The sequence below is a fragment of the Homo sapiens genome, chromosome 3 (genome assembly GCF_000001405.40).
Source record: "Homo sapiens chromosome 3, GRCh38.p14 Primary Assembly".
Lineage (NCBI taxonomy): Eukaryota > Metazoa > Chordata > Mammalia > Primates > Hominidae > Homo > Homo sapiens.
The window spans coordinates 72,463,576-72,477,563 of record NC_000003.12 but is presented as its reverse complement, the minus strand read 5'-3'; the positions used below and the strand labels follow the sequence as shown (position 1 = coordinate 72,477,563).

The 13,988-nt window shown below is 43.0% G+C and overlaps 2 annotated features.

Moving 5' to 3' along the window:
- Positions 1,999–2,118: a silencer, noted in NCBI's record as "silent region_14530". NCBI's record gives its function as "represses an Ori minimal core promoter by ATAC-STARR-seq in GM12878 lymphoblastoid cells {active_cell/tissue: GM12878}" and the evidence as "EXISTENCE:reporter gene assay evidence [ECO:0000049][PMID:35858748]".
- Positions 4,211–4,260: an enhancer, noted in NCBI's record as "active region_20087". NCBI's record gives its function as "activates an Ori minimal core promoter by ATAC-STARR-seq in GM12878 lymphoblastoid cells {active_cell/tissue: GM12878}" and the evidence as "EXISTENCE:reporter gene assay evidence [ECO:0000049][PMID:35858748]".

Sequence of the window (13,988 nt, the reverse complement as noted above, 5' to 3'; positions counted from 1 at the left end):
AACTTCTTTCCCCATCAAAATGCATCCACTAGCACTTTGAGAATGTCCAACTCTCTTGAAACCTAATTGCTTTGACAATCAGATCCAGGGTCACAGTTTGCAGTATGTGACAATTTACAATTAACTGGAATGCTTTCTGAAGATACAGCCTGCATTTTTTGGGCTGGAGGACCAGAAATTACTACAATCCTGCCTCCAGGCTCTTCTGTCTTCCCACAGCATCTGAGAGAGCAGTGACAAGGATTAGGTATTTGTCATCTCTGATCTAGACCAATCCCACGGCCCTATTTTTGGATGAGAAATCTAGGGTTCTGAGGGGTGAAGTAACTTATCCAAAGTCTCTTGGTGACTTTGAGGCAGAACCTGTGGAAAAGAAAACCACAGATCTCCTGACTTCTTTCCTACTGCCTGTCCCTCATTCCAGAACTTTCCATCTCAAAATGTGCTCTCTAGACCAGCAGCATTGATGTCACCTGGGAGCTTATTAAAAATGCTGATGCTAAAATCCAACCCCAGCCTGACTGAAACAAAATCTGCATTTTAATACAAGATCCCCAGTTGATTCACATGCACTTCAGAATTTGAAAACCACTGGGCTAGAACTTAAATTTTTCCCTCTTGTTTCATTTCTTATCATTACTTCAACCCCAAGGGTCTATGAATCTCCCAGGCTGAAATTAACCCAATCTCAACATATAATGATGTTCAAGGAGTCCTGGTATTATTAAATATAGTACAGTTTTCCATGAGAAAACATTTCTGCCCTGTTTTCTGACATTTTTTTCACTTTCCTTAATTTAAAATTCTAAAAAGAAAAGCCTCATTAATGGAGTCATTTTTAGAATGGGCAGGAGAATCCAGCACTTTGAACTTAAACAGAAAAGGTTTCATAGAAACTTAATAAACAATCAGACCTGGGTGGTGAAATGTACATGAAAGTGTGTGGTAAATTATAAAGTGGTGCGCAAATGTTACTTATAATTTCCAGGCTGTATGATCACAGAATGATATCCTTCATAAGCCCATTCTGGGTTAAAATGTTTCTCAGGAATATGATGTGAAATTTAAAGTTTTCTAATTATTCTCATTTTATTAGATATCTAAGGAGCTACAGTAGTGGTTATCAACTCTGGTTATGCATGAGAATAACTTGGGGGAGCTTGGTTTAAAAACACATGAGCCTGGGCCCTGGCCCTAGATTTTATTTCTTGAGGTCCTGCAGGTCAGAATTGGTCAAGGGTATGGTTTTAAACACTCCCAGGTGATTCTAATACAGAGTGAGATTGGAGAGCCACTGAGCTGGAAAGTCATTATTTTCCAGGTTTACAGTAAATATATGTGGGTGAGAATTTTATCCATATTTATGATATATCTGATGACCAAAATTTCTAGTTTCTAAATTTTAACAATAATAAGACCATTGGGAGATATCACCTGAATTGAAATACTAATGGTTGCTGATTCTAAATAGTATTGATATGGCAATGACAATTTTGTTAATCATTCACTCTTTCAAAATTTGACATTGCCCCGCTACTATCGATGGTATCAAAGACTGACCTACATCTAACAGTCCATTTGTGTACAGGCTTACACCCTGGTGTCAACAACTGAATTCTTAGGTTCCATATAGTATTTATTCTAATGATTAGAACTTTTTGACAACACAGGCTTGAAAGAGTATTCATGAGGACCTAAAAGCCCTAAGTTCTAGGTAGTGCTCTTTCCCTGAGTTGGCTGATGTTGATTCAATTTCCTGCTCTGAAAAATGACAGTGTTGGCCCAGAGGAGCTCAAATCTGGCTGACCATCACATTCACCTGGAGAGCTTTTCAAAGCCGCAGATTTCAAGGTCCCAGACTTTGAAGGGGAAGGGGGAATGTTGGAAATCCGGATTTTCAAAAGAATCTTTGGAAGATCAGCTGTGTTTGGGAGCCACTGGACAAGATAAGCTTCCAAGTCCTTTTCTGCTCTAAGAGTCTACGGCATTAGATCCACTTAGTTAAATTCTTATATAAGAAAAAGCTGATCTGGGAGCAGGCCTGCCCAGCGGGCAGGGCCTACAGAGAGAGAGAACAGAAAACCGAAAAAACAGTAAAAGGCCTCATCTTTGACTCCCTCCTCTGTATGTCTCAAGGTTTTGTGTTCATGTGGTTTCTGTTCATATCTTTTCATCATAGTCATATTGCTAAATGTTGAACTGTCATTTCATCACATTACCTTTAAAAACTGTTGGAAACAATGTTCTCGGAAGGAATAATCACTTTTCCTGCTACCCATTTCACCTCACTTCTGCTCCAAGACTAAGTTTCAGTAGGCAGAAGAATCTCCCTGGGAAGACTGTTCAAAATACAGATTGCTTCCTGGCATGGTGCCTCATGCGTGTGATCCCAGCATTTTGAGAGGCCAAGGCAGGCAGATCACTTGAGCTCAGGGGTTCGAGACCAGCATGGGCAATATGGCAAAACCCCATGTCTATTAAAAATACAAAAAATTAGCTGGGCATGGTGGCACGAGCCTGTGGTCTCAGTTACTCAGGAGGCTAAGGTGGGAGGATTGCTTGAGCCTGTGAGGCGGAGATTGCAGTCAGCCTAGATCACACCACTGCATCCGGCCTGTGAGACACAGCCAGACCCTGTCTTTAAAAAAAAAAAAAAAAAAAAAAAAAGATTTCTGGGCTTCCCCTTGATTCTAACTCAAGAGATTTGGAGTTTGGTCCAGAGACCTGCATTTTTACAAGCATCCTGGGTATCCTATCTGCTTTTGATCTCCCTGTACAATTTAGTATGTAGCCTTTCCCCAGGTTTCCTTTACGGTAAGAATCTCATGGACTCATCGACAAGTAAACTAAGAAATAAAACATGCTATATCCATACAATGGAATATTATTCAGTCGTAAAAAGGAATGAAGTATTGATATACAGGACAATGGTAGATGAACCTTGAAAACATTATGCTAAGTAAAATAAGCCAGACGCAAGAGGCCACATATCACATGGTTCCATTTATATGAAATATCCTGAGTAGGCAAATCGATAGAGACAGAAAGTAGATCAGCGGTCGTCAGGGGCTTGGAGGGAGAGAGGAATCGGGGGTGACTGCTAATGGGTGTGGGTTTCTTTATGGGGTGATGAAATATTCTCAGATGGTGGTGGTAGTTGCACAACTTTGTGAATATAATAAAAACCACTGAATTGTATAAAAGGGTGAATTATATGGTATGTGAATTATACCTTAATTTTTTAAAAAGGCAAAAAAAAAAAAAAAAAAAAAAAAAGAATGCCCTGGGCAATTGTTTAGAAAAACAGATTCCCAGGGCCCACTGAAGCCGACTGATTTACCACTTCCAGTGGAGGAATACAAGAATCTGTTTTTTAATATCCACCCCCCATCAAGTGAATCAAAAGGGAAGTTTAGGAAACCTTATCAAAAGGGAAGTTTGGCACACTGGAGGCCTGAGCCATCTTTCTGCACGGACCCTTCAGTCCCATCGGTGCCTACTGATGGATGAATGGATTTTTAAAATGTGACATGTACACATGTCTTAGCCCATTTTGTGCTGCTATAACAGAATGCCATAGACTGGGTAATGTATAAAGACATTTATTTCTCACAGTTGTGGAAGCTGGGGAGTTTAAGAGCAAGGTGCCGGCAGGCTTGGTGTCTGGTAAGAGCCCTATCTCCACTTCCAAGATGGCACCTTGAACGCTGTCTCCTCTGGAAGGGAGGGACACTGTGTTCCTCACATGGCAGAAAAGCAGAAGGACACAGACAGAGAACCCACTCCCCAAAGCCCTTTCTAAAAGGCACTAAACCCACCCATAAGAGTGGAGCCCTCATGTCTTAATCACCTCTTCAGGGTCCTACTTCTTCATATGGTTCCAATGGCAATTACATTTCAACATGAGTGTTGGAGGGGACAAACATCCAAACCACAGCAACATACAATGAGCTATTATTCAGTCTTAAAGAGGAAGGAAATTTGGACACATGCTACAACATGGATGAACCTTGAGGACATTATGCTAAATGAAAAAACCAAACACAAAAAGACGAAGACTGTATGCTTTTATGTGTATGAGGTACCTAGTATAGTCAAATTCATAGATACAGAAAGTAGAATGGTGGTTTCCAGAAGCTGGGGGGAAACAGAAATGAGGGTTGTTGTTTAATGAGTACAGTTTCAGTTTTTCAAGATGAAAATTCTGGAGGTCCGTTGCACAACAATGTGAATATATTTAACACTATGAAAGTGCACACTTAAAAATGGTAAAGATAGTTTTCTTTATGTTTGAGACGGAGTCTCGCTCTATCACCCAGGCTGGAGTGCAGTGGTGTGATCCCAGCTCACTGTAGCCTCTGCCTGCCAGTTCAAGCAACTCTCCTGCCTCAGCCTCCCGAATAGCTGGGATTATAGGTGCCTGCCACCATGCCTGGATTAATCCCAGCACTTTGGGAGGCCAAGGCGGGTGGATCACCTGAGGTCAGGAGTTTGAGTCCAGCTTGGCCAACAGGGTGAAACCCCATCTCTACTAAAACTACAAAAAGTAGCTGGGCGTGGCGCCACACGCCTGTAATCCCAGCTACTTAGGAGGCTGAGGCAGGAGAATCTCTTGAACCCGGAGGTGGAGGTTGCAGTGAGCTGAGATCTTGACACTGTACTCCTGGCCTGGGTGACAGAGCGAGACTCTGTCTCAAAAAAAAAAAAAAAAAAGATAGTTTTTTTTTAAAAAAAGACTGTGGCTTCCATTTCGAGCTCCCTCACTCTGTCTTGCTGTGCTTACTCTGTTGTTCACTGGCTCTCTCTTTCAGATCACCAGCTGCCATGTTGGGAGGACACTCAGGCAGCCTGTGGAGGAACTCCCATGGTGAGGAGTCTGCCAACAATCAGATGAGTGAACTTGGACATGTATCTTCCCAGGCCTGCCAACATGTGAATAGGCTGGGAAGCGGATCTTTGACCCCTATGTTGAGCCTTCAAATGAAACCACAGCCCTGGTGAACAGCTTGTTGCAACCTTATGAGATACCTCAGAGCAGCAGTCCCCAACTTTTTGGCACCTGGGACCAGTTTCGTGGAAGGCAATTTTCCCACAGACCGGGGTTGGGGGGTGGGGATGGTTTTGGGATGAAACTCTTCCACCTCAGGTCATTAGCCATTAGAGTCTCATAAAGAACACACAACCTAGATCCCTCTTCACGCTCCTATGAGAATCTAATGCTGCTGCTGATCTGGCAGGAGGCGAAGCTCAGGCAGTAATGCTCACTCGCCCACCGCTCACCTCCTGCTGTGTGGCCTGATCCTAACAGGCCATAGACCAGTACCAGTCTATGACCTGGGGGTTGGGAACCCCTGTCTTGGAGTACAGGTACCCAGCTGAGCTGTGGAAGATTCTCAACACAGGGAATGTGTAGAATAATGAAGATTTATTGTTTTAAGCCACTAAGTTTTGGAGTAATTTGTTATGCAGCAATAGGTAACTAATACACCATCAAATGCATTTGCTCAGTCAGATTGCAAGGCAGAAACTACTAGAGCTCCAGCTGCAACCCTGTTTTTCAGGATATAAAAGTATATATATTGTGGTAGACCAAATAATGAGCCTCCCAAAATGTCCACGTTCCTAATTTCCTGGAACATATTGTGAGTGTGTTACACTACAAGACAAAAGGGACTTTGCAGATGTAATTAAAGTTACAAACTTTAAAATACATTATCTTAGATGAGCTGAGTGGGTCCAATCTAATTACCTGAGCCCTTAAAAACAGAACTTTGGCTGGAGGCAGGAGAGATTTGCCAGAAGTGGAAGTTGGAAAGATTCAAAGTGTGAGAGGACCTCACTGTTGCTGGAAAAGGCAACGTGTAAAGCATGAAAATGAAGATGGGCCGCCTCTAGGAGCTAAGACTCCACCCCAGTTGATAGCCAGCAAGAAGACGGGGATCTGGGCTCTGCAACTGTCAGGAACTGAACAACCTGAAAAACCCTGAAAGCAATTCAGTGCTGGAGTCTCCAGAAAGGAATGCAGCCCTGCTAACACCTTGATTTTGGCCCTGTGAAAGCCAGGGAAGAAAAATCAGTAGCGCCAACTGGGACTTCAGACCTACAGACGTCTAAGATAAATAAATTTGTATTATTTTCAGTTCACTAAGTTTGGGGTAATTTGTTATGGCAGCAATAGAAAACATATCTATATATATGATATTTATTGGTTTTCAGTACTTTCCTACCAAGTGTCATTGCTATGCAGACGCTGCACAATGCTGTTTATCGTTTTCCACTTACTCTGCTGAAGCAGTCATTCACTCTCTCAGTGTCTCTGTGTATTGCAGGGTTGAATGTTCCATGCATTGTTTTTAAGGCTCTCTTGGAAAGACACTCCTTCTTTGGGAGGCTGGCGTCTGGCTGGAGAAAGACTGAATGCCTGCTGGTTGTTTCTGAGGCTACTAATCAATATTTACCATTAGGATGACAACTCCATGCATCACTAAACTTTGACCTTTGTGCCCCAGAGCAGTCCCAAGATGCCAATTGATGTACGGGCAATATACATATTCCATGAACACAATACCCCTTTCATAGACTTTCCTGAATTAAGTTTTAGAGGTGCTGGCAATAGCAAAATAATGTTGCTAGTGTACCAGCGAGCTCAGGATATTTAGAAAGAGTGCTTGGATTGAAGTAACAGTGTTTATGATTTTTTAAAAGATCTTTTGGATGGATACTGTGTATGGACTGCTGACTAGATGTCCCTGTCTTCAGCATAACTGGGTGATGTTGGCATCAAGGGTCCGTTAAGCCAGCCTTGAAAACAAGCACATGCCTATAGGCCCAAGACCTGTGGTATTCCCAGTAAAAGGTGTTGATACTTCAAATGAGATCAATTGCCAAACAGCTGTTTGGACTAAAACCAAATGATTAATTAGGCTTTCAAGAGGCAGTTATTTTGATTAAAGGGACCATATATGAATGGCCTTTGGCAATTTCTTATATCTAATCAGAGAGGTCCACACACTCAGCCCTTGTGTGGAACCAGTGGGTGATGAACAGCTCAAGTCAAAAAGGGTTTATCAGAAGAGAAGATGCATGGAGCCCCATTAAAGAAAGGGTAGCTGAGACTCATAGGAGCTGAAAAACCATTAGGAACCAAGGAAGGCTATTCCTTCCATCTCTTTCCCTCTCTCTTCGTAGCTACTTAGCCTCTCATCATTGCTTTCCCCTGGAATTCTCTGCTTGTTAATGCCCAGGGCCAAAAATTCCATCAGCTTTGATTTTATATCACTTTCAACTCTGTGGAACTGATTCTGAGTCTGAATTCATTTATTTATTTATTTTTGAGATGGAGTCTTGCTCTGCTGCCCAGGCTGGAGTGCAGTGGTGCGATTTTGGCTCACTGCAACTTCTGCCTCCCCAGTTCAAGTGATTCTCCTGCCTCAGCCTCCAAAGTAGCTCCACCGTGCCTGGCCTGAGTCTGAATTCAAATTCACCCAATTTTAAATTCCCAGGACAGAATCTGATTGGCTTAGTGTGATCTGGTGTCTAGCTGTGGTCCAATCAGCTGTACCCAGGATGAATCAGGGGACATATGACATGGTGGGAGCTGGCTCTTCCAAGTGACAGATGAGGCAGGGAAGAGATGACAGAACACCTCCAGAATATTTTCTGAACTGATAATAGCAGATGCCTCTTTGCTACTTCTTTTTTTCACCCATCTGCAAACCTGTTAAAGGGAAAGGACATTTTTTTCATTTTTGTCTTCACTACCATACTTAGCTAAGTGCCTCAGCCAGAGAAGATGCCTAATAAATTTTTAAAAAGATATAAAGGTGGTCATGTTTTTTCCAATCATACATACTTTTTTTTTCTTTTTTATTTCTTTTCTTTTTTTTTTTGGAGTCAGGGTTTCACTCCGTCACCCAGGCTGGAGTGCAGTGGTGCGATCTCGGCTCACTACAGCCTCAACCTCCGGGGCTCAAGTGATCCTCCTGCTTCAGCCTCCCTAGTAGCTGGGAGTACAGGTGCATGCCATCACACCTGGCAAATTTTTTTTTTTTTTGTAAGTTTTTTAGAGACAGGGTTTCGCCATGTTGTCCAGGCTGGTCTCAAACTCTTGGACTACAGTGATCTGCCCACCTCGGCCTCCCAAAGTGATGGGATTACAGGTGTGAGCCACCACACCCAGCCCAATCATACATGCTTCTAATAGTGCTAATCATAATCCAACTTGGTATTGAGGCAAAAAAAAAAAAAAAAGAAAAAGAAAAGAAAGGGGGTCATATATTCTGATCACTCCTGAGTTCTTTCTTCCAGCACTGCTTAGGTTAATAATGGCTATTATTTACTGTTCATTTTCCATGGGGCAAGAATTGCATAAAGTGCTTTATACGTTATTATCCCATTTATCCACTATAATAATCCTTTAAGGAAACCAGAGCTCACAGAAGTGAGCTCAACTTGCCTAACTACACACAGTTCCAAAGTACTATGGCCAATTGTAAACCTAAATCATAGCCCAGTCCTCTTAAGAACTGTATTGTCTTTCCTCCAGTGCTATGAGGAATTGTGAATGAGGCTGAGAGATGAGGCTAAAAGGAGAGGTATTGGCTGGGTCAATGCCAATTTTGTGGAACTAAACAAAATGGTTCCATTCTAACAGTTTTTGAAAGCATTTTGAACATGGCCTTGGGCCTTTCATGGTTCTGAGGATTTCCTACAACACCTCTTAATTGAGTCTTTCCAGGCTGAGCTGCAGGATTTAAGTAATTCAACAACCAAAAAGTTCTCAGAATTTCCCTCCTTTTCCTTTTAGCTGAGTGAGAATGTGTCCCCCAGCTTTCTGCTTTTAACAACTGAAAAATAATCTGGAAATCTGAGTCAAGACCTGGGTCAAACCTGCCATTTTTTATCGTACCTTGCACAGTGAGGGCCAAATTCAGCCTGGCCTCCACTCACCAAATCATGTACTCTGGCACAAGGCTGTACTGCCCAGAGGAAGAGATGCTGTGTTCCAATTCACATCCTAAACCACGCTGTGGGTGGCTTGTGGGCTAGGGGCAGCCTTGGATGGATATAACATTGTTTCAGATATCCCCTGCTTTAGATTTTGATTATGACTTGTGATCATTGTATTTCTGGATAGTATCTCTAATCTCTATTTTGGAGAGAGGAATCCAAATTCTAGAAGTCATTCTCAAGGGAAAGAGGGGCTGATATTGGTACCTAGAACTGGGTTTCTGCATGTTCACTGGAGGGTTTTCTTTTGTCACCTTCTGGCTTGTCTCCCACACACCCCTAGTCCCATCCACAGAGGGCAATCTGGGCAGCTTTGGGACTTGGTTTAGCAAAACAACTGAGTGAAGATACAAACTAAGGAAATCCAGTGTTATTCCTGAGAAAGCCTGGCTTGTCTTAGAGGTTTTTTATTGTAGTTTTTTTTTGTTTTTGTTTTTGTTTCTGTTTTTTTTGAGACAGAGCCTTGCTCTGTAGCCCAGTCTGGAGTGTAGTGGCACAATCTTGGCTCACTGCAACCTCCACCTCCTGGGTTCAAGCAATTTTCCTGCCTCAACCTCCCAAGTAGCTGGGACTATAAGCGTATATCACCATGGCTGGCTAATTTGCGTATTTTTCGTAGAGACAGCGTGTCACTATGTTGGCCAGGCTGGTCTCAAACTCCTGACCTCGGCTGATCTGCTCACCTCAGCCTCCCAAAGTGCTGGGATTACAGGCGTGAGCCACCGCACCTGGCTGTCTTTGATTTCTTTCTAAGGAAGGTGAAAATCCTCTCTCCAACCCACAAGACACTATGGGCACAGCTAAAGTGTTACACAGTATTTTGTTTCTAGGCACTGTTAAAATGCCTTTCCAACATGCTGCCATGATTTTAATTGTGTATGTGTGTTCATCCTCAAGTATATACATTTTAGAATATATGTGGAATGGAATTTGGATTTTAAGGGGACAGAAAGACTGTGAATTTTAAGATCTCCTTCCTTCTGCCCCAGGTGTTCATTTGATACCTAGAGATATTTATGCATGGCAGTACCTAGGGAGTACCTAGGCAGTAAAGTGTAGGAGGTAAAAATGATCAGTCTGGAGGGACAGATCTGGGTGGGTTCAAATCTCATCTCTGCCACTCACTAGCTGTACCTCCTTAAACAAATTCATTAAACACTCTAAGCCTCATTTTCCTCAACAAAGATGGTAAAAGCTTCTTCTTCATAACTTCATTGTGAGGTTCAGTGAGCTGATGCATGTATAATAGAATGCTTAGCATAGAGCCAAGAACATAACACCCAGAAATGCCAGCTCTTCTTCTCAGAAATCAAGATGCAAACCTCAATTCTGGTTGGAAACATGTTGAACATCCAAGACAGCTTTTGTACTCTTTTGTTGGGGGCCCCCTGTTTCCTCAGTGTGAATCCCCTCAGAATTTGTTCACTGTCCCCCAAATCTCATCTGTGTGGCTGCTCCAACCAAGGAGAACCTCTGGTTGCCATGGCATACATTTATCCGGTGAGCATGCTTAATGATCTCGTTCTCCAGGTCCCTGGAGTACAATGTAAGACTAGTGAGCTTGTTAACAAGGGTGCAAAGCTGGTAAGAATGGGCTGTCCGATGTATTTGCTTTAGTTACAAAGTTGTGTGGGAAAATGGAATTGCTGAAAACTCAGGACACTCCTAGAGAATGCTCATGGCAGCAGATTTTCCATTCTCACATGCAATTGCTTCCACCTCCAGGGTATAACAAAACCTTCCAGCGACTTCTTTTTATGTAAGGAGATAGTAGAATGCAGTCAGCTGGGCTGAGGTTGGGCTGAGAGAGCTGTGGGTTGGATGCTGCTAGCTGAGAGACTGGGCAAATTATTGGACCTCCATATACCTCAGTTTTCTCCTCTGCAAAATGGAAATATTAATAGCATCCATCTCACTTGTATTTTGAGGATTAATTGAGATAATGAATATAAAGTGCCTGGCACATAGTAAGCAATCAATAAGAACACTTTATCATCAGCACCATCTTCATAATTACTACCTAGCTCTTGGTATTACGGGGTGTAGAATATAAGCTCTGCAAAGCAATCAGCCTTCTGCCCAACATTGGTATGCTATTAATGGTGGATATTAAAATGTTTCTGCTGTGAATATCAACTACAGAAGCGAATTACTCTTTTTGAAGCTCTCCAAGGGCTTGCCTCATTCTGTAAGGCCTCTGGTTTGCCCTCTATAGCTTGCCCTCACCCTGTGAAAGGATGATTTCCTGCAGCAGACACCATTGGTGGCCACCCCCATTGCGAGTCCCCCTCCTCCCTTGTGAACAGAACACAAATTTTGCTTAGGCAGCCACGTGCCTAGCCCCAGGGTAAAAAGCCTGATTAATGCAAGCCATTTATGGCAGTCTCATTTGGCTTTACCTTAGTTGGTCTAGGTGAGGGCATGTGAATGCATTCTGGCCAATGAGACATAAGGGGAAGTGTCATAATAAAAGGAGAGAGGAACATGAGGTGAGCCTCATCTTGGTCCCTGCCCTCTTCCTCCCTGCTTTAGCTACCGTCATGGGATGCTTGGAGCTGCAAGCTGCTATTTTGGGACCATGAGGGAGATACAAGCATGAGGACAAAAGCCAACACTGTTAAGATGGCAGAGCAGAAAAATAGGAAGAGTCCAGATTCTTAATGACATTGCTAAGCTGCCAAATCAACTTGGAGGCTGCTGCTCTCCAGACTTCTTTCTTAGTATACAATAACTGTTCTTATGATTTGGGCTACTGTTAATCTGGTTTTCTGCTAATTAATCAGTATACTCCTTTTCTGTTTGCCAAGCCTGGAAAATGACTGCTATTCAAATTCTGCTGAGATATAAAGACATTCTGTTCTTATTTTCTTCCTCTACATTTGGGTAGTCAAGTGTCTTTAAATAAATTCCACCCTCACTATTAAAGTGAAACTGTTGTTGAAAAGGTCATCAATGACCTCCTGATTGACATGTCCAATAGCTCCATCTGATTTTGCATTCTGCTGAACCTCTGTTCCATTAAACAGCTTAACCATGTTCTCATTCCTAAAGTGAATCCTTCCCTCAGTGGGCCTCACTGCTCTTTCTTTCTACTTCTCTGGCCCCTCCTCTGTGGTCCCTTCTTTCTGCCTCCTTACCTACCTACGAACCCTGACATTCTGCCCTTTGCCTTCTCTTCTCTCACTCAGCACTTTCCTGGCATGCTGCTTTCACTTCTAAGATTTTGGTTACCATCTGTGGGTGCTAGCAATGGTCCCATTCATATCTCATAGACAGATCTTTTTGCAGCACCAGATGTGAGCAGAACATGCCCAACTGGATGTCCTCATAGGACCGTCAACATCGCATTTCCTAAACTGAACTGTGTCCCTTTACAAGCTTCTCTATAACACACTTCACCACTCATACTAGCCCACAGCTAGAAACCCCAGAGTCATCCTAAGCAATTCGTTCTCTCCCAATATCCAATTCATCACCAAGTATAAAAATTTCTCTATTCTCAGGAGTCTATTGCAGCTTCCCCATGTTCACTGCAACAGCCTCCATTTATCATTTCTATAGTGCATAAGGTTTCACCTGCCTCCAATCTCTTCCCTCTCCAATCATCTGCATTGCTGGTAGAGTGGGTTTTCTAAAAGCAAACTGAATCATCTCACTGGCTTTAAAAATGTCCAAGAGGGTATGTGTGTATGTGAGGGGGGGTATGATGTGGAGACTGTATTAGCCATCATGCCCTCCAAATAAAGTCCACATTTCATAGCACGGCATAGAAGGCCCTCTAGTCTCTCTGAGTACACACTGATTTTTGCATTTCGTCTCCTACGACCTCCCCTCACTGTCTCTGTATCCTGAGCTCAAGCTCCTGTGAATTCCTCTTTCCTTCCACTATTTCCTCTGATTAGATGGTGGACATCAATTCTCAGCACTCTGAACTCCTGGCATCATTCAGTTCTCAAGTCAAACTGCACTTCTTCCCAAAAGCATTACTTGACCCAAGGACCACACCTGAGTTTCTCAACCTCAGCACTACTGGCCTTTAGAGTTGGATAATTCTTTTTGTGCGGGGGCTGACCTGTGCCTTGTAGATGTCTAGCAACATCTCTGGCTTCTGCTTACTAGATGCCAGTAGCAACCCCGCCAACCCATGTGACAATCAAAAATGTCTTCAGACACTGTAAATGTCACCTGTGGAGAGTAACTTCCCCCAGTAGAGAACTATGAAACTAGACCAGGTCTCCTTCTTATCATCCATAGCTTCCTGGTCTTCCTTGATCACCACACTCACGGCACATTTTTATTTTATTTTTTGAGACACAGTCTCACTCTGTCACCAGGCTGGAGTGCAGCGGTGATACCTTGGCTTACTGCAACATCTGCCTCCCAGGTTCAAGCAATTCTCCTGCCTCAGCCTCCTGAGTAGCGGGGATTACGGGCACCCACCACCATGCCTTGCTAATTTTTGTATTTTTAGTAGAGGCAGGGTTTCACCATGTTGGCTAGGCTGGTAATAAACTCCTGACCTCAAGCAATTTGTCCACCTTGGCCTCCCAAAGAGCTGGGATTACATGCGTGAGCCACCACGCCCAGCTTGTGACACATTTTTGAAGTGACTTGTCTGATTGTCTCATCTGCTTCCAAAGGCTGTTATCTAGGAGGGCATGGCACCCAGTAGGCATGCAGTCTAGCTTCATGGAAGAGTGGGCTCTGTGATGGGAGCAACTTCATCTGTCATCTTCATCATTATAGCTTTAGTAACCAGCGTGGTGTTGGCACATAATAGGTGCTCAGTAAGTATGTGTCGAACGAAGGAATGATTGAATGCTCCCATTCAATCACTTCTTTCTCTCTAACCGAAGAATCCTAGTTGGGGTTTTGAGCCTTGTCTTCTCTTCCCTCATAATATTATCACAAATGGCCCTGTTCCCTAGTACTTAGTACACTGGATAACAATGACAATCAAGACAATAGGTGAAATCATG